The sequence below is a fragment of the Homo sapiens genome, chromosome 18 (genome assembly GCF_000001405.40).
Source record: "Homo sapiens chromosome 18, GRCh38.p14 Primary Assembly".
Taxonomy (NCBI): domain Eukaryota; kingdom Metazoa; phylum Chordata; class Mammalia; order Primates; family Hominidae; genus Homo; species Homo sapiens.
The window spans coordinates 68,065,946-68,087,012 of record NC_000018.10 but is presented as its reverse complement, the minus strand read 5'-3'; positions in this window follow the sequence as shown (position 1 = coordinate 68,087,012).

The following is a 21,067-nucleotide window of genomic DNA, read 5'->3' as shown; positions in this document are numbered from 1 at the left end:
GTATCTATCTAGGTAGAGATACTTAAAGTTTGTGCAACAAAATATTTGTGACTGTTTCTTATTGGTGACATTGTGGAAGAATTTACAGTCTTTGTCATGATATTTTGGTGTGCTTAGAGTTTTCTTAACAAGGGAAAGTTCTCATACTACCAGAAATAGAGGCTTTTGAAAACTGTGCCATCTATGAAAGAAGAATAAGACAATATTTATGTCGAAGTCTGAATGTGAAAACTTATCATGCTCAACTTAAAGAAATAAAAAATCTTCTCTGATATGATTTCCTAAATGTGAGTGATGCAGATGGTGACTTTTTATAGTTTGGAAGCAGATACACATATGGTCATTTCAAATAGTGAAATCTCTTTTCCATTGAGTATTTTCTTTCTCAGTAGTTGGCACCATCATTCTCCACTTCACCCACATTGGAAACTTGGCAGTGAATTTTGACAGCTGCCTTTCACCCATCTCCCTCATGCAATCACTCACCAAGTTCTGCAAACTCTCCTTCCTAGTAATTTATAAAAACAATCCTTGTCACCCTTACTCTAATTTGCCTTCAGGGTCACAGAATTGGGTGAAAACACTAAGATTTTTGCTTCAGAGGCATTGAGTTTGATTTATTTCTCATATTGTGATAGCCTTGACAAAAGTCTTTCCTGCCTGAGTAACTTACCTGTTACATTTTTTCTTCAACAACATCAAGGAAAGTTAAAGCGAGAAAGGAATAGGTAACTGCATTACAATTGCTTGGCAGCTTTAAAGAATTCATGGGGTTTATAGTCATAAATTTTAAGTAGAATCAATTAGTGGTCTTGTGAGTTTTCCTCCTCTCACATTCTACTGAAAGAGTCACAGGTGCAATGTAGTGGAGAACTTAATTTAACCAGGTTTGTGGTTTAAATTTTTTTTGGCTCTCCCCTGCCCCTCCCTGCAAACCAATATGTAAAAAGAGAAGAGGTGAAAAGCTTGGCAATGAGGAAAAAGAAACTACCAAATGAACAATAGTCAGTGAAAAGATGACAGGCTCTATTCCAGTGGGTTTGAAATATCTCAGAATCAGAGTACTAAAGAAAATGAGCTGAAAAGATAGAAGATAATGGTGATGAGGTAGTATTACAGAGCAGGTGGAGCAGGTGCATACAGTGGTAATGACCAGACACAGGACATTTATTATAGAAGAAATTAGTTGTTATAGGATGGAAGAGAAGGACAAGATTATTAGAGGAAAGGAACTAAAGGAAAAAAAAGTATATCAGTTGCATGAAGAAACATCCATGAGTATATTGAAATTGAGAAGAATTAAGAAGGAAGTAATAAGGAAGACAATGAAGAGAGTGATTGAGCCAAGAGATACAGTCTTTAAGAAATGAAAGGTCTGTGGATAGCAGCTTAAATCATGGTATATACAACCTGATGACCTGAGATTCAACCTGATATATAACTTGACAGTATGAGATTCAAAGCTTGGTGGTTCTGGAGAGAAAGTCTGGGCAGGAGGTGGGAGAGGTAATTGACCTGGAAGGAACAAAGAACAGGGAGTATACCTATCCTACCCCCCAACCCAATAGTTAAGAGAGGAGAATGTTGATGAGCCATTAATTCCTAAACAAAACCATTTTCATGCTAATCGACTATTTCAACATTAAAAAAAAAAAAACAGAAAACAACTAAACTAAATCCCCAAACAACCTTCCCGTTACCCATGTAGCATAAATTAATAAATAAGTTACATGATTTTTCATGATGAAGCTTACAGGGCATTTGCAGCCTTCTCTGGAAGGCTTCCTTCCCCCTGAAAGTTTTCTGGGTCTGATCTTGATCTTGCTGGAGGGCATCTTCCACATCCCTTTTGTAGAAAAGGACTGAGACCCTGCAAACAAACTGAGGTTCGACCTATTGTGCCTGGCATCATTTCCAAGTCATTTGCCTGCAACACTTCCAATGGACTTGTTAATAATGATAAAAATGGAATTTACATTTTTCTTCAATTAAAGAGTCTGTAGGATAGAAATATTTTGATCTTTTTTTTTTAATTTCCCTGACATCTAGATGTGATTTTTGTGATTCAGATTTGAAATACAATGATTATTCTGATCAGCGCTTGCTAGCAAATCATCATTAAGCTTCTGTTGGCATTTCTCTGTAAGGTGTTCTAACCATGTAACAGAATACTTTGTTTTAAAATTAATTAAATTAAAATTGTATTATAGTTAGCTAGCCATAGCGCTCAGGTCATCAATGATCTTAGCTAACCTACTCTGAGATTGAATATATTGTCTTCCATGGTGGCCAAGGAAGCAGGAGGATTCTTTCCATTAATCATAAAAACGTGGGTTATGATGATCTTTTGTCTGGGCTGTCAAAAACAGACAATAGGATCTGTTGTTAGCTTTCCTTATGCTTCAGACTCTGTGTTTATCTACAGAGTCAATTCTGAAGGTCAAATCCAATTTTCCTTCCTTTCTTTGGTAAGACGTGTGTCCTTTCACCACTTCAAACTGAGGGCGGGTAGGGAGCCATCCTGATATTAATTTGTCAACATTTTCTATCTCCTCTGTTTTCATGTTGAAAGTGCCTTAGCAATTAGGATTCATAGACTGAAAGACAATCTTGCTTATAGTGGCAATTTGTGGTACTAATAAAGGTTCAATTATCAAATCAGACTCACACTGATTTGAATAACAATATACTGTACTCAGTAACATGTTTTATTAACGATTCAAAGGATATGGGCAATCACATGGAACAAATTATTCTTTCTTTAGAGTGGTCTCTGACCATCTAATGCATCTCCCCACAGTATTATTTCTCCCATATTAGGACTAAACACGTAAAGTTTATGTTGAGTAATGCATGAGAATATATGGCTAACATAGAACACATTTAGTTACAGAATATCTCCATTTTTTATATACCGTTATTTACACAGTTTATCAGTATTCTTCAGCTAGCTAGGCCTGCAAAATTTATGCATAATGCTAAAAGCATTTTTGCTGATAAGGACTCTCCATTTCCAATCTGGTAGGAAATAGCATGTGTATATTTACCAAAAGGTCTTATTACTAGGATGTAAAAGCAACAATTTGACTGGGTCACTCATTTCCCAGATGTCCTATTTAAGAGAAAGGTTAGATTACAAACTTCCTTTCAATGTTGTCCTTCAAAAAAGGCATAGAAATAGCTATTAACGATTATATTGCATGTCAAGTAATGAGCGTTCTATTCATTAAATGATTTCTCTGTATTCTTTAATTTTTCTGTGTGTCAAATGTTGTCCTATCAAAAGTGATATGATTTTGAAGCTGTAATAATCTACTAATGTATGTTCCCTGGGTGATAAATATTTCTGTAGTTTATTTTCTTTGTATATTTTAACAGTCATAGATTAGGGCAAAATGTATGTCTATTGAGGGAAATCACTTTCATGGAAAACAAATTGATTTCCATCTGCACGATACCACATGCAGACACTCAAACAGACACAGGGATCTGCACTCGCATTACCATACAGTCTTACAAATAAATGTTGAATATTTTCTGAGCTTGATACATAAATGATTGCTTTTTAACCTCTTATACCGTCATTGGAGTATGAGGTTGCACATTTATTCTTTTGATGTTTTTTTGTGGCTGTGAAGGCATGCAATCACAATTCAACTCAATGCCAGTCCTTAGTTCATGCTGGTTAATCAGCTGAGTCAGATCCCAGCTGGAACCTCTTGCATACTTTGATTTCACAAAATCATTAATCTCATTCCCAACTGAGTCAAAACATTTCTAAAGTCGGTGAAACCCTGTGCCTTTTCATTTCTAAGACAAAGATATTTGTGTTTTCTTCTTTTTTTTTTTTCCCAGGGCACTGAGAGTGACAAAGGTTATCGTAGAGAGCAGGTATTTTTGTCCCTTAGCTTTAAAAATCTTCCTTAGTCATCTGTGGGTTTGATTATTCTGCAGCCTTGATCACTGAGGAAAAATTTTTTTATCACTTGCCTTTCATCCTTTCTTTAATTTACATGTCATGTAGATGTGGAGATCCTATGAACTGTATTGCTGCTGAAACAAAAAATAAAACTTTCAGCAATTTGTACTCTAAATACATAAAATAGGATCTTCTTGTATATATAAAAAATGCGAACCATAGTATATGCTTGACAACGTAGAAATAAGCATATCCACACATCTTACACACACCCACATATGCCATTATGTGGCATACATATATATATATATATACACACACACACACACAAACATATATATACACACACACATATATATGCATATATATTTAAAATTTTAGAAAATATAAGAATGTAATGTTATTTCTAGATATAGGCCTCAGATTTTTTTTCTTTATACTTTTCAGAATTTTCTAAGTCATTAACAATATATTCATAGTGCACTTATAGAAATTATACCTATGTGGGGTATTAGTATATTCTTATATTATTCTTATTTGATGCCATACAGTTATGGCATCTGATGATTTGATTTCTCAATCCTGTGATTTGAATATGAATCATAAATTTATATTCTATATGCATTTTTATAAAATCACAGGTTTGTAACAGATGAAATATGTTTTTAAAATTTTATTATAAGTAGAAAAATAAACTCGCTGAAATATGGAAAACCTAATATGAAAAATTACTTATCTGTATTGGTAGCCAAGATGCATATTAAAAATGTCAGTTATAATAATATAATTTAGTAATCCATTAAGTGAGTCTACATATTTATTGAATACCTAGCATTAAGAATGACTTTTACAGAGTAAATTTAATATTCACAACCATCTGCCAAGGTAGGCAAAATAACCGCCAACACAACATATTTGAGGCCCAGATGACTTAAGTAACATGCAAAAAATAACGGAACCTGGACTGAAACATAAGCTTGTGTGTTGGCTTGTTTGTGTGTTTTAAATTCCAAAGCTATTTTTTTTTCATCTCAAATTATTGACGTTTCTTGTCTATATATTTTGAGGTCACTAGATAATAGTTTTTCACTTCACATTCCTACGTAGAGATGATCATACAAGAGCATTTTGTTATGTGCAGATAGGAATTAGACCCAGGTGACGAACAATGCTGCTGCCCAGCAGGAGTTGGTAAACCGTGGCCCTCAGGGTCCAATTCATTCGCACCCCAACGATAACTGCTTGTGCAATTGTAGTCTTGTTGCAATGAGCGGATTCATTTGCTTATCAGTGTATGTCTGTCTTCATGATGCAGTTGCAGAGTAGTTGTGACATAAACACATGGTCTATGAAACCTAAGTGATTTACTATTTGGGCATTTAATTAAAGGTCTGCACTTTCTACATGTATTTAAGGTCATTTGTTTTGTAATCAGACAATTCAAGTTTCGACCAAAGATATAACACTGTATAGTTTTATAACAGTAAACAAATTATGAGGTTCTTTAAGTTGCATTTTCTTTATGTATAAATTAGGAATGATTATAATACCTGCTTCACTGAGATGTTTAGAAAATGAAACGGCATAAGACAATGAGAGCCTGGCAAAATGCCTGATAATAAGAGAATACTTATCATTATAATTCACTAACATTTGCCATTTGTTTTCAATTTTATTTGCTTGAGATTATTATAAGTAAAGCATCAGAACTCTGCTTCTATGAAAATGTCTATTTATTTAGTAGTAGTATTATATACTTCAGTAGGGTCCTCAGAGTAATCTCCTTCCTCCAGAAACCATTTTCTACGTTTATGTTGTTCTAGTCACTCCAGATTCTTGCTGTATTGAATATAAGTAGCATAAAATATTCAACAAACTCAGAGTTTAAATATGATCGCATCCCTTTTACTTTTCTAAGTAATCTCTTCAATATCCACCTTTCTTATGTGTGGGAATTCCAATGCTACACGCTTGAGATTATGTTACTGAAAATTGTTCATAAATTCCAGGGAGTGTTGAAATAGATTAATTTTATTTCTACAATAGGCTTATCTGGTCAGCCCTGATGTTTTTTGGTACTTACCTATACCTTGAAGCAGTTGCTAAATTCTCTCCTGGGTAAAGACATGGCAACCAGCTAAGAAAAGAAACTCGAGTGCAATCTGTGTAGCCCACTTGCAATAGGACAGTGCATAATTCCAACTGTTTCTAAAGCATATACAAATTATAAGAAATAGCGACTTTTAAGTCGTCTATTATTAACAACAGCTAGGTAGCTAGTAGAGTTGCGGCCACGAAGTACTTCTTACAGACATCAAGTATTTTACGTTTGTTCTTTAGGCATATCCGTATTTAATGGCTTTATTACATCATGGATTTAAGCATAGCGAATCCTTTTCTTTTGTGGGCTGCTTTTCTTTTCTTTCGACATGGAGTCTTGCTCTGTCACCCAGGCTGGAGTGCAGAGGCGCGATCTCAGCTCACTGCAAGTCACTGCAAGCTCCGCCTCCCGGGTTCACGCCATTCTCCTGCCTCGGCCTCCCGAGTAGCTGGGACTACAGGCGCCTGCCACCACGCCCGGCTCATTTTTTGTATTTTTTAGTAGAGACGGGGTTTCACCATGTTAGCCAGAATGGTGTCGATCTCCTGACCTCATCATCCACCCGCCTTGGCCTCCCAAAGTGCTGGGATTACAGGCGTGAGCCACCGCGCCCGGTCTGTTTGCTGCTTTTCTTAAAAAAAAAAATTCTGATTTCATTAATTTTTAATGTAATAACGATGTTACATCTACCAAGTAAACAGGGAAGTCAAGCATCACGTCCCCAAAATATAAATACTGTTCTAAAAAATCCAGGGAAAATGCTTTTAATTATTTAGGTCAAATTTTTGTCCACGTACACAAAACTTCAACTTTATTTGGTCTGAACATGCAATCTACCCAAAGGTACAAATTTGGAAAATAATTTGAAGACATATATTTAAAATCGAAAATAATTTAATAATAGTAAACATGAGCCACTGTTTTCATTTGCGAGCTACCTACTAGCTCTGGTCTAAGCAGTGATTGCGCCTGTGTGTGTTAAGAAGTAGCTGTGCTAGTTCAATATAATATTCACTAGACCATATGATATTTCTCTGGCTTTATATTGATTTCTTTCAACCCTTGGGCATAGTTTCTTCCTGGTTCTATTTATCCTGGTTCAGCCTTTTATTAGTATTTGGAGAAATAGAAAGAATTTGCAGGAACATTGTTTTGCTCTATGTGTTTTCTCTAATGCAGGATAACTTTCTACATTCCTAGAACTTACTAAAAGAAGACAATGTTTATAAGTAATCCCTCCTAAAGCATCATAATCTGATACTGGCATAGAAATATATTTGGGAATAAATAACTTGCATAAGCATGTCTTCTTGTTCCCGGAGTATTTCTATATTATAATAGAAAATGTCTTTTTATTTATAATGTATTGCTATCCTTTGTTTTCTCTATGTTTGGTTGCACAACTCTGAGTAATTTTTACTTTGCTTTATTTTCGGTTTACAAATAAAATTACCATCAGCTGAAAACAATGTGGCTAGTTTTTCTTAATTCTAAAATCAATTTTAATAAAATATATAATATTCATAAGGCTCATTATATGTACAAAATATATTTCAATTATCTCTTTTAATAAAATATATGTAGAATCCTATTTTGTTCCCCAATATCTTCTAAAATATATTAAAAACAATCAAAGAAATTGTTTGAAAATGCTAAAGTATCTGTCAAAATAACCTACCCGTTAATATGACAATGGTTCAGACATGCTTACTGTGATGACATTGTGACTAATAATAACCATGATTTTCCATATGCAGGGCACATAGCAGGCCTCTCATTTGGTGTTCACATAACTTACTCTATGCAGAAGTTTGGTACACAACTGAAAAGGCTTACCTCCAGAATACTTATGGAGAGATGAGTGCAGCAGAGGGAAAACACTGAAAAACTATGATAAACCCTAACACTAATGACTTCCCAGACACTGTAACAGCACCTTCTTATGTTATTCAAAGTGCACAACACATTGTTGTTCTTTGCTATGTTGGGTCAATTTGAATATATTCATAGGTCAAAATAAATAGATTCTAATTAAGCTTCATGAAATGAATATATGTACCGATCTAGCTATATTCTGGAAGACTCCTAAAAGCTATAGTAAAGTGGGGAAAAGATACAAACTCAGTAGAGAAGAAGAACAAGAAAAACAAGAACAGGTGAGACAATCACAACACAGGAGATATCTAACATTTTTGAAGATGAAAGTAAATGGGTTTAACAGAAGAAAAAGGACCAAACGAAAGCACTTAAATGAGAAGCCTAATGAACCAAACCATTTCCAATCGAAAATCCCAGAAAGTCCTGGAATTAAAGGCACAAATCTTTCATCTGGAAAAAAAAAAAAAGGAAAATATCAATATGGCTTGAACATTAATATAAACTGAAACTAAATATATAGATTGTTTTAACTTATTCTACTTAACCATGAAGCGAATACTCTTTTATCATAAATTAAATTGGAATTAAATCAATGCTTAAACTATTGGAATGTAAATTTCAGGACACCAAGTACAGCAGATTGAGAGGATACCTACTGAAAAAGGAAGGGTTTAACCTAAACTTGTTTTCTAAGTAGTGAGACCTCCCAACACCCTTTGCATCCAGCTTCCAGAATCCTATATATAAAATATATTTTATATATATATATAGTATAGTATATTCTATATATTTTATGTTTTCCAAACTACACATTGAGAAAGGTGTAAAGCATTAATTTTACACTAACAGTTATCACGTAATTGCATTAATTTATCATTCACTTTGAAAAATTCCAGGATTTTTTGGGCAGAAATTAGCTATTGTTCAAAATAATTTATATATATTTTTTACCCTAGTGGAATGTTCATAACTCACTGCAGCCTTGAACTCCTGCCCTCAAGTTATCCTGCAGCTTTGGCCTCCCAAAACCCTGGGTTTGCAGGAGTGAGTCACCACATCTGGCCCTAAAACAGTTTAGATTTTTAATAGAAAAATCTTAAATTCTTAAAGGAAAATTGAAAAACACATTTTGAAAAAGGGAATTAAAATATTAGCCAATTTAAATAGCTGATTATTAAGGCATTAGAGTAAATGTATATAATTATAAATTATATTAAAAGACCGCAATAGTTGCACATTAACTTAAACTGTATCTGTCTCCTCAGCATGAGTTGAAGAATACAGGTGCTGCTTTTCATTTTGAATTTATGTATATGTATAACTTTAGTGAAAATTAATTTTGTTATATGTTAAACCTAAAGATATGTGAACTGTATATATACCATAGTGAATGAGTCTATTTGTATGCATTATCTTTATGTCATTTAACAAGCACTAAATTATCTTATTGGGAAGTATTCAGAGAAAAGAAATACAAGTAATTTTCAGGTTACAAAATTGTAAACTTATTGTTGCTATTTAAACAGCTAGGTGTGGAATAGGAGGACTTTAATTCAATAATATAAAACTGTAATTCTTACAACCTTTGTAAAAGCCTGGATCCCAGACCTTAGATAGTATTTCTTTTGTTATTCATTATTTTTAGAAAATATTGATTGTCTACTAAGCGGCAAGCATCTTCCTAGTCATTGGGATGCAATGATAAATCAGATTTAGAACGTTCACTTTTACATTACTTTTAGATATAACTCCAAATAAGCTTTTGACATAAATAGCTTGATTTGTTTGCTCTTGACTGAAATGGAACTTTTTTTTTTTACTTTCTTATTTGCTCTTGTAGGCACAGCTCAATTAATTATTAGATTTAGAAGAATATATTTGACATTTTATTATTCTTTCTTTATTATTGTCTCCTACACACAGTGAAAGACAATTGTGTCTTATGTGCAAAATGCTTGAAACATAACAAACATTGCCAAAAATAAAAAAGAATCAAAAGCATGACAAAATTCACAGAATAGTCATGAATACCAAAGCCTCTATTTGCTATGGCAACTAAAGTGGAAATTTCCCCTGAATAGACGTTAAGTTTCTGAGTGTCATAACTTGTTATTAAGGCCTTGTAAGCAACATCAAAGATTATTAGGAATGTCAAAATCTATGTTTCAAAAGAAATGTTTTTATCAGAATGAATGGTGTGATGTCACAGCTTATATGTTCTCCAATATCTATAGCTGAAAAAAAGCACATATAAAGGCAAACAGCTACAATAAGAAGCAGGTTTTGCTGGGAATTAGCAAAAATGTTTTTTGGAGTGCAGCTGTGATTCCAAGATAGGAGGCTTGGTCGTGAACGACAACTTATCATTCAATGGCTGTCAACATCATTCAGCCAGTGAGGCACTTACATCTATTTCACTGCTGAACTTCTCTTAAATTCTATTTAAGAAAATGAGAATGCATATTTTATTTCAATGGGCTTTTCTTCTGTGATATGCCCACTTATCTATTTTGCCTTTGATAATCTTCCAGGAAGTTCTATCCACAAAGAAGTATCAAAGGAAAGCCTTCAGTCAAATGTGTTAGTGCTGTGTTCATAATGACATGCATCAGCTCAAAAGAAACATAAAAACTTTGGGAGAAAAGTATAAAATGTGGCTATTTGCATACCAAAAGCCATTTGTTGAGAGGTAAAATTAAAATATTTTTAATTAGATTTCTGTTGGGAGACAGTTCTCCAGGGGTCTTTCATATTTTTGCATGCATGTGAGCAGAGACACTGACAACAGATTTTGTTGTCAAAATGCTGTCTTTCAGTGCTTTTAGAGTAATCAGCCCAAGACGACAGAAATAGTGCCTACACCCAGAGCAAAGGCCAAATCCCTCTGCTTTTCAATGTAATGAAGTTCATGTCTCCCTTTTGATGAGGGTCGGGGTAAGTTTGTTGCAGCCTATTACAAATGACTGAGATTGTCCTAGTCAATTTAAGTAGCTCTCTACTCAGCCTCTTGTAACCTACTATATTACTTATTTATTATGTTTATAATCTGTCTCCTCCTTACCAGAATATAAGCTTTGTAAGCACAGGTAGTTCTAGTTTTTAGTTTGCAAATGTGTTCCAAGTATCTCAAATGATGATTGGCACATATTAGTCACCCAATATTTGATGAAAAAGTTAATATATTTTAAATGAATTATAATTATTTATTTTTTAGTTTTTCAATTAGGGTATGAATTTTTTTATTTCTCCAAATTAATCTATTTAATCTTCCATCGTCCTATGTAAGCACAACATCCTTCAAATTATGCTATAATTCTGAAATTTATGAATAATAATTTTTCCAGAAGCTTTTTACCTTCTTACCACATGGATTATCAGTGAAGACCTACCATCAAACTGTTCAGAAACAGTATTTTTGATCTATGACACGCCTCCTTTTTTCCATCAGAGTCAGGAATATAATTGTGAATATATTAGGAATCACTTTTCTTTCTGGAATGATTTCTAACATGTTCTACATATGACCTCTCCCAGCTCTACTAAGGTCCATCTTCATTTTCAAAACACAAAACGTTTTTATTGATTTATTTTTAATTATTTTTATTTTAAGTTCCAGGTCTAGTTAAGGTGTTAAGAATGAATTAAGTTAAAAAATTATAACCAATAGGGAAGATGCTTTAACACCCTTATATCCTACAGGGACATATAGTCACACTGTTCAGTCTTATGACAAATGATTAAGCATTTGACAAAAATTTGCAAAAATATTCTATTATCCTGGTACATGCCGAACCATTTTTTAAAATATTTTATACATAGATTATATCAACTAAAATTCAAACATGTATATGTATTTGAATATTTAATGATACCAAATTATAAATTTAATATTTAATAGCCTTTAAATAAGAAATTCATAATATTCTTGGTATTTTAAATTACATTAGTTGACTAACAGATGATGCACATATAATTTCTAAGCGTTTTTATTGTAATTACAATCTTGGGGAATTATTTTGCCATGGAATTAATACCAGAGGATTCTGTGTCTTCTCTGCAGCCTATATTAAATTTGAAGTAAATCATGATGCTTCATCCTGACTAATTTATTTTAAAAAGAAACAGATAATGTTTTGAAATTTAATTTATTTACTATAGAGTGACTATTCTTAGTGTATTTTCTTGGATTGGGAATCTTATATATGATCCATAGGGATATATTGGTAGGAAACATTGAGTAAATTTTATTATCACACACTCTAAGAAAGGTAGTCCATGTCCTGAGTTTTAAGATAATATCCTTCTTTTGGCATGCCTTTTCTGTAACCACCTAATGTATAGAATAGGGCAGCTGTGCCATGCCACACTAAACATATATGTAAGATTGGGTTAATGAAAGAGACAAGAAATGACATCTAACCTTGTTTAATGTTTTGTGGGAGAGGTGAGATGGTGAGGTGAGCAAGTGTATTCAGATGCGGTCTGAGAGCTATTTTAAAGATAGTTTCCCCAGAACACCCCTGTTGTCCACAGACTTTCCTTCTGTATTTTCTAGCTTTTCCAATAAATGTTGTATCACCTACCTGCACCCAAACTGCAGACTCGCTGCCCCGTTGAACTGATTTTCTCTACTATTGGTACATTATAGCTGTTTTCTCAATATTAAACAACACCATCCCCCAATAATACTTTCAAAAAATAGGCACAGATAAGTGCTGTTTTGTTCTTAATGTTGACTAAGTTAATGAAATATTTTGTTTTCTAGTGCCCAAATATTAATAGCTAACGCTGCCTGGGCAACATCAGGGATATATATTGAAGGAAACTATGCTAAACACTTGTATTTGGTGAAAACATTAATGAAGAAGAAAAATAGAGTAGGTGAGGCAGTAATTGCACTAAATAACTATAGCAGATTTCAGGGGGAGAGTTTAAAGCATAGATGTTGTATTAGTCCATTTTAACGCTGCTGATAAAGACATATGGGAGACTGGGAAGAAAGAGGTTTAATTTCACTTACAGTTCCACATGGCTGGGGAGGCCTCACAATCATGGTGGGAGGTAAAAGGTACTTCTTACATGGTGGCGGCAAAAGAAAATGAGGAAGGATGCGAAAGCGGAAGCCCCTGATAAAACCATCAGATCTTGTGAGACTTATTAATGACCAGGAGAACAGAAGGGGTGGAACCAGCCCCATGATTTCAATTATCTCCCACTGGCTCCCTCCCACAACATGTGGAAATTATGAGAGTACAAATCAAGATGAAATAGGGGAGCGGACACAGAGCCAAAACATATCACTCACCCCTGGCCCCTGCCAAATTTCACGTCCTCACATTTCAAAACCAATCACGCCTTCCCAACAGTACCCCAAAGTCTTAACTAATTTCAGCATTAACTCGAAAGTCCACAGTCCAAAATCTCATCTGAGACAAGGCAAGTCCCTTCTGCCTATGAGCCTGTAAAACCAAAAGCAAGTTAGTTATTTCCTAGATACAATGGGGGTACAGACATTAGGTAAATACAACCACTGCAAATGGGAGAACTTCGCCAAAGCAAAGGAGCTACAGGGTCCATGCAAGTCCAAAGTCCAGCTGGGTAGTCAAATCCTAAAGCTCCAAAATTATCTCCTTTGACTTCATGTCTCACATCCAGGTCACGCTGATGAAAGAGGAGGGTTTCCATGGTCTTGGGCAGCTCCAGCCCTGTGGCTTTGCAGGCTACAGCCTCCCTCCCAGCTGCTTTCACAGGCTGGTGTTGAGTGTTGGAAGCTTTTCCAGGCTCACAGTGTAAGCTGTCAGTGGATCTACCATTCTGGGGACTGGAGGAAGTTGGCTGTCTTTTCACAGCTCCACTAGGTGGTGCCCAGTAGGGACACTGTGTGGGAGCTCTGACCCCATATTTGCCTTCTGCAGTGCCCTAGCAGAGGTTCTCCATGAGAGCCCCACCCCTACAGCAAACTTCTGTCTGGGCATCCATACATCTTCTGAAATCTAGGTGGAGGTTCTCAAACATCAATTCTTGACTCTATGCACCTGCAGGCTCAACACCCCATGGAAGCTGCCAAGCCTTAGGGGTTGCACGCTCTGAAGCCAGGGCCCGAGCTGTACATTGGCCTTTTTCAGCCACGGCTAGAGTAACTGGGATGCAAGGCACCGAGTCCATAGGCTGCGCACAGCTTGGGAACCCTAGGCCCAGCCCACAAAACCACTTTTTCCTCCTAGGCCTCCAAGCCTGTGATGGGAGGGGCTGCCGGGAAGACCTCTGATATGCCCTAGAGAAATTTTCCTCATTGTCTAGGCGATTCACATTTGGCTTCTTGTTACTCACACAAATTTCAGGAGCTGGCTGGAATTTCTCCTCAGAAAATGGGATTTTCTTTTCTATAGAATTGTTGTCAGGCTGCAAATTTTTCAAACTTTTATGCTCTGTTTCCCTTTGAAAACTGAATGCTTTTAACAGCACCCAAGTCATCTCTTCAATGCTTTGCTGCGTAGAAATTTCTTCCATCTCTCTCAAGTATAAAGTTCCACAAATCTCTAGGGCAGAGGTAAAATGCTGCCGGTCTCTTTGCTAAAACATAACAAGAGTCACTGTTGCTCCAGGTTCCAACAAGTTCCTCATCTCCATCTGAGATCACCTCAGTCTGGACCTCATTGTCTATATCACTATCAGCATTTTGGGAAAACCACTCAAGTCTCTAGGAAGTTCCAAAATTTCCCACACTTTTCTGTCTTCTTCTGACCCCTCCAAACTGTTCCAACCTCTGCCTGTTACCCAGTTCCAAAGTCGCTTCCACATTTTCAGGTATCTTTTCAGCAATGCCCCACTCTACTGCTACCAATTTATTGTATTTATCCCATTTTCATGCTGCTGATAAAGACATACCCAAGACTGGGAAGAAAAAGAAGTTTAATTGGACTTACAGTTTCACATGGCTGGGGAGGCCTCAGAATCATGGCAGGAGGCAAAGGCCCTTCTTACATGGTGGTGTCAAGAGAAAATGAGGAAGAAGCAAAAGCAGAAATCTCTGAAAAAATCATCAGATCTCATGAGACTTATTCACTACCAGGAGAACAGTATGGGGGAAACCACCCACTTGATTCAATTGTCTCCCACAAGGTCCCTCCCACAACATATGGGAATTATGGGAGTACAATTCAAGATGAGATTTGGGTGGGGACACAGAGCCAAACCATATCAGATGTATAAGTTTACTAGGGCAGTCTTAACAAAATGCCAACAACTGAGGAGCTTAAGCAACAGAAAGTTATTTCTTGCAATTATTGGACCTTATGGAAGTCAAGGTCAAGCTACCAGCAAGGTTGCTTTCCTCTGAGGACTTTCTCTTTGGCTTGCAGAAGGCAGCTTTCTTCCTGCTTCTTCTCACATCCATCCCTTTGTATGTGAATGACCCTGGTGTCTCCTTTTGTGATCAAATCTCCTTTGGTCTTTCTTTTTCAACTTTTATTTTAGATTTGGAGGTGCATGTACAGGTTTGTTACATGGATGTATTGCATGAAGCTGAGGTTTGGAGTACAAGTGACCTGTCACCCAGGTACGAAGCATTGTACCTAACAATTAGTTTTTCAACCTTTAGCCCTCCCTCCACCCCCAGTAGTCCCCAGTGTCTATTGTTGCCAACTTTATGTTCATGTGTACCCAATGTTTAACTCCCACTTATGAGTGAAAACATGTGGTAGTTGGTTTTCTATTCCCGTGTTAGTTTGCTTAGGATAATGGCCTCCAGCTGTATCCATTTTGCCACAAGGGACATTATTTTATTCTGCTTAATAGGTGCTTGGTATTCCCTAAGGACACTGGTCAGATTGGATTAGGGCCCATCCCAGAGAGTTCATTTTAACTTAATCACCTCTTTAAATGCCCTGTCTCCAAATACAGTCACATTCTGAGGTGCTGGGGTTACGTCTGTGACTTATAAATTTTAGAGAGATACAATTCAGCCCATAAAACATATGGGAGCCTAGGATCACTTCAGTGAGAGCTTTCCCCTTTAAATATGGCTTTTAAAATTTCCTGTTGCAGTTTGAAAACTACCGGCCATGCTACTTTTTCTTGCACTGTTGTGTATGAATATTTTCACTTTGTTATTTTCTATTGGCTTGCTATAATGAGCAATAGAGAATTTCATTCATAAATTATTTTCACATTACTTTCCCTTTTTATCCAACTTATAATTTGAAACACGGCTTTAATCAACTTAGGGAATAACTTAGGAATAAGCAAGCATATTCTGGTTTTCTGATAGTCTGTCTGCCATCCATACTATTTCCTACAAATTGATCTGTATCTAGATAGTCAGATGATACAGTCACTAAGTGCTATTATTTTTCCTTAAACTCATAATTTTGCTTTCATTCTACAGGTAAACACATTTAATTATCACAAACCACCTTAATGTTAACATTCCTCTACTCATTTTTGCTGTTTCACATTCAATCTCTAGTATTTTTCTCATAAAAAGACTCACAGAACATGATTATTTTTGCATGATAATAGTAGTTTCTGACCTTTATACATGAAAATAATTTCTGTAACAGATAGTATACTTGGCCTACATTTTGTCTCATTCAATGTCTAAAAATGTTACTTCATTGTGTCCTTATATATGTTGTTTAAGATCTGATGGCAATTTGATTTTCTGTTATTTTAGGTGAATTAATCATTGAATTTGAATGCCATAAGGATTTATTGTTTTTCCTTATTGTCCAGAAAATATGCAAATACTATGTGCTGATACTATTTGTTTTGGTCTTTTCCCCCCAATTATGTCATATGATTCTTTCAATAAGGAAGTTTTAATTTTCTGAATTTTTTAGTGTCAATATTCATATAATTTGTTCATTGCCATTCATTTGGTTTTCTTCTGTAGAAATTTCTTTCTTCCAAACATCATGTAACTGGCATAAAACTCTGTAGAGATTTTTATCTTACATACGTTGTTTCTTCCTTACTCATGTTCCACATCTGTTTTTTCCCTCTCATTTTTAATTTCTTGCATCTTTATTCCCTGATTTTAATATCATCCTCCTTTTAACTTCTATTTCTTTAAACTTAATATATGCAATGTTAATTTCCTCTTTTCTTCCATGTTAGTTTAGTCTTTATTTCTGAGACCTTTTGTGTTTGTTTCCAACTTTTTTTTTTTTTTTTACTTCTATCGTGTCGTTTGTTCATTTTTCTAATTCTGATTTCTGGTGTTCTTGTTATTTTTATTTATATTTGGTTTGGTTTTATGAGAAATAGATTATACTAAACTTATTGATTTATGGTCACGGTCACTTTTCTGATATGGTTCTAGAGCTAACTCTCTCTGCTTTAGTTTATGCAAATTGATTTTTAAAAAGGAAAGAAAAAAACGTTTACTCTTATATCCACCTTATTGTCTGCCCTCCATAACTTCTGTCGGGGCATTCTTTTTACATTGCTTTTGCTTTTGTTGTTGTGCCAAATTTGGATTCCATTCCTAGAGGATTTTCTTTAGAAAGTGGCTTTGCTTTGAAGGGAAAATTTCACATGTTGTTTAGGAGAGTTCATAATGCTTAGATTGTGCCAAATTTTTGTATTTATTTATGAATTGGAATGTGCAAAAAATGTAAAAACCTGAAGAAAACCACACCTTTTTCAGCAGCTGTTCCCACATTCTTCTGCCACATTTAATGGAGAGTTTCATTGGTGATATACTTAATGCCATTATTTTCCTATTATTCTTTGGTGGTAAAACAACAAATTTTCTCAGAAATTTAGGAAGTCTAGGAAAGTCATTACATGTATGCAGAGATCAGCCCTGCAAAAGTCACATTTAATGTGTTTTATGCTTAGGGAATATTTGACTTAAAAAATAAAGCCAAGGAGTCATGAGTTTGTGACGTGGTGAACTCTCAATAATATTAATTTATAGACTTGATAAATGAGATGCTCTTCCAATAATGTTAAGTCAGTTAAAACGGTGGAGACTATTGAACTAATCTAATTATTTCTAGCATCTATAACTCATGAGTTTCATATTATGGATTCTTGGCGGACGGAGTGAGCTTTGTGCTATCCAATGATCAAGGAAATGCCAAAAATAGTAGGGGTCTACAGAGTGTTTTGAATGATTTATTTTTCTGAATTTGAGCCCGAGGTTCAAGACTTTGAGCCTTGATAAAAGAGAATTAAATATGAACATAGGCTTCCAGAAACAAAGTGGTCACAGCATGGACTGTATTATTAACCCAAATAAGAACACTTGGTAGTAACTATAATAGAAAATTTAGATAATAATTAGGAAAGTTAGCTTATCTGAAAGTGAATATTCTATTGTTTCTCTGGTTTTCTTTTACTTTTTTATTGATTCAAGTGTCAGAAAAAAACTGAAGTGTTAATGGGCTCTCTTGGGAAGAAATCTCTACAATCTGGATATAATAAACAAATAAATATTTTTATTGGTTGTTGTTAAGAGCAGACTGTGTAGTCTAAAGATTTTTTATTTAAAGAATTGATTCTCTCCTCATCCAAAGTATTAACTGTTTCCTCATTTAAAGTAATTATTTTCTGTTAACCATTTCTAAATATCTTAGGTATAATGAATTTAACATGCCCTTGTGTGTGTTTAAAAACACACTTTCAAATTTATAGCAAGAAATCTATATTATTTAAAATTCTCAATTTCAGCATTAAAATGTAATTAACCTTATTAGCATATTATAAGCACATCATATATTGAATTTACTGTCTTAATTGGGGATGTAGTAAAAGTAAATATAATTTTAATAGGCAAAAATATACAAATAAAAACTGATGTATTGTGGTCTAGTGCTTTTGCATATTTTATCTTTATTACTTTAATCTATTTAGATATTATCTAGATTACTAAAATTGATCATTCATTCAATTCAATATTGGCCTAAGTCTATAAAAGATTTTGGAAATGATATTTAATGTGACATTGCAGAGAAACACATTTTTTTGTGACATCAGCATTCCATCAGGAAAATGGCACTCAAAGATTTACTTCGAACGTTTCAGTTCAGTACTAAGTGAAAAATGATTTCAACACCATTAGCGTTAAGTTCCAAAGGAACCTGTCCTTACGCTGTTGTTGAATACCTACATTTATGTTACTATAACCTTGAATACTCTGGAAAGAATAATAACTTATCTGATCCATAAACCCTGCATTTACACATTGTCTTTATATAATAAAGGGGAAAAGGAGATTCAGAAGTGTTATGTGACTTAGTAGAAGTGTTCCCAATAAGGAGTGCCAGAGTTGGGATTCAAATCTGATCTAACCAGACCCAGAGCCAGGTTTTCTTGCACTTCACCACACTATGCACACCTACTGTGCCCTTGCTTTGGTCATTTCTGTATGACAGGTACAAGAGCTGAAGCAGAAGGCAGAGCAGCATCTTGATCAACCCCAGCTGGGAATGCTTTGCCACTCTGAGCTTATCTGGAAACAACCATGAAAGTGCAAGCAGTACTGAGTTTGTTGTTACAAATAATTTTTTTCTTTTTTTTTTTTTTTTTTTTTTGAGATAGAGTCTCGCTCTGTGGCCCAGGCTGGAGTGCATTGGCACGATCTCAGCTCACTGCAAGCTCCGCTTCCCGGGTTCATGCCATGTTGTTAAAAATAATTTTTAGCAAATAGGCAAATTTACAAATCCAAATATATGAATAGTGAGGGTATGTTATAGATAGATATAGAAAACTAAAGATGTAGATATTGACATAGACAATAGATATTGGATATATATCTATATATAGTTATACTTTAAAATATATATGATAAATATATATCATATTCATTTAATATGTTACCATCTATTTCAAACAATATTACACTGATTTGTGTACAAGGTAAGTCCATTATAGCAGTGTACTTCAAGTGCCTTCAGCATGCACTTTAAGGTATTTTCATTATATATTCTTTCATATTTTTTATGCTTAATTGAGTATATTTCTCTTTGCTGTAATTATTTTCATATTTGCATATCAAATTGAATTGAAGGTGGTCAATCATTCATGGTAGTACTGGTAATAGTCGCCACAGTTGATATTTGCTACCTCTCAGGAATTGCAGTGATTCACATGTGCATACTAACTCAGCATTACAACCCACGATGCAAGATCCATATCATCTCCATTTCACAGATGAGCACACCAAGGCACAGAAAGTTCCACACATTTTTATAGCTGTACCATAAAAAAAATGACATTTTATAGCAAGGCAATCTGATCTCAGAGCATATGTTTCTTATATGTTAAACTTTAACACCTTACAAGCAGTGAAACCTATTATAACCCTGTCATTAGTCATCACTCTAATGGGAGTCTGACCATCTTATGACTGTGGATAAGCCCTTTTCCTTCTAAAGGCCTTAGCTTTCTAATCGACAGGATTATGACAAATGGGATCTGAATAGAGTTTCAGATCCCTTCTAGCTGTACTATTCCATGTATGTATCCTTGTTTAATGTGTCTCTGATAATCAATTCTTTAATTTTTGACCTAATAAAAATATACTTTAAATATGAGGAGTCATGAAGAAACGGGGTGATAACTAGTTGAATATGAAATGTTGTACAACACTTTTATCACCGCTCATAATTTCTAACGAAGGTGCCAAGAAGCACAAATTGCAAAAGAATTTAAAGTTACAACGAGATGAAAGAAAACTGGAATAATACCTAAATTGGATAGCTTTTGTTTCCAGTGATAGGGGAAAGTCTTCTTTTTCTCCCTCTTCTTCTTTCTTCCTCTTCTTCTTTCTTTCTCCTCAGTCTCCTAGTCAGTGTGTTTTAGACACTCATTGTGTACCAGTTCATTACATATAATTGTTCAATTATTTATTTACCATTTGACCAATGTTAGATATTTGCTATGTTACATTTTTTTTTTATTTTATAGAAAGGCAAAAGGGCTCAGAAATATGTCCTTCTACAGAAATCGCATAGCTAGTGTGAGTGGAAAGTCAGAATTTCAAATCCAGCCAGAACGGTCAAAGCCCTCTCAAAAACAAAACAAAACAAAACAAAACAAAACAAAACAAAACACCACTGGTGACTTAAAGTTTAAATCGATGGTATAACAATAGGATCACTAGAGATGTTGTTTGTGATAGCAGACATCAAAAGGTATGCTTCCTCATCCCAAGGTGATTC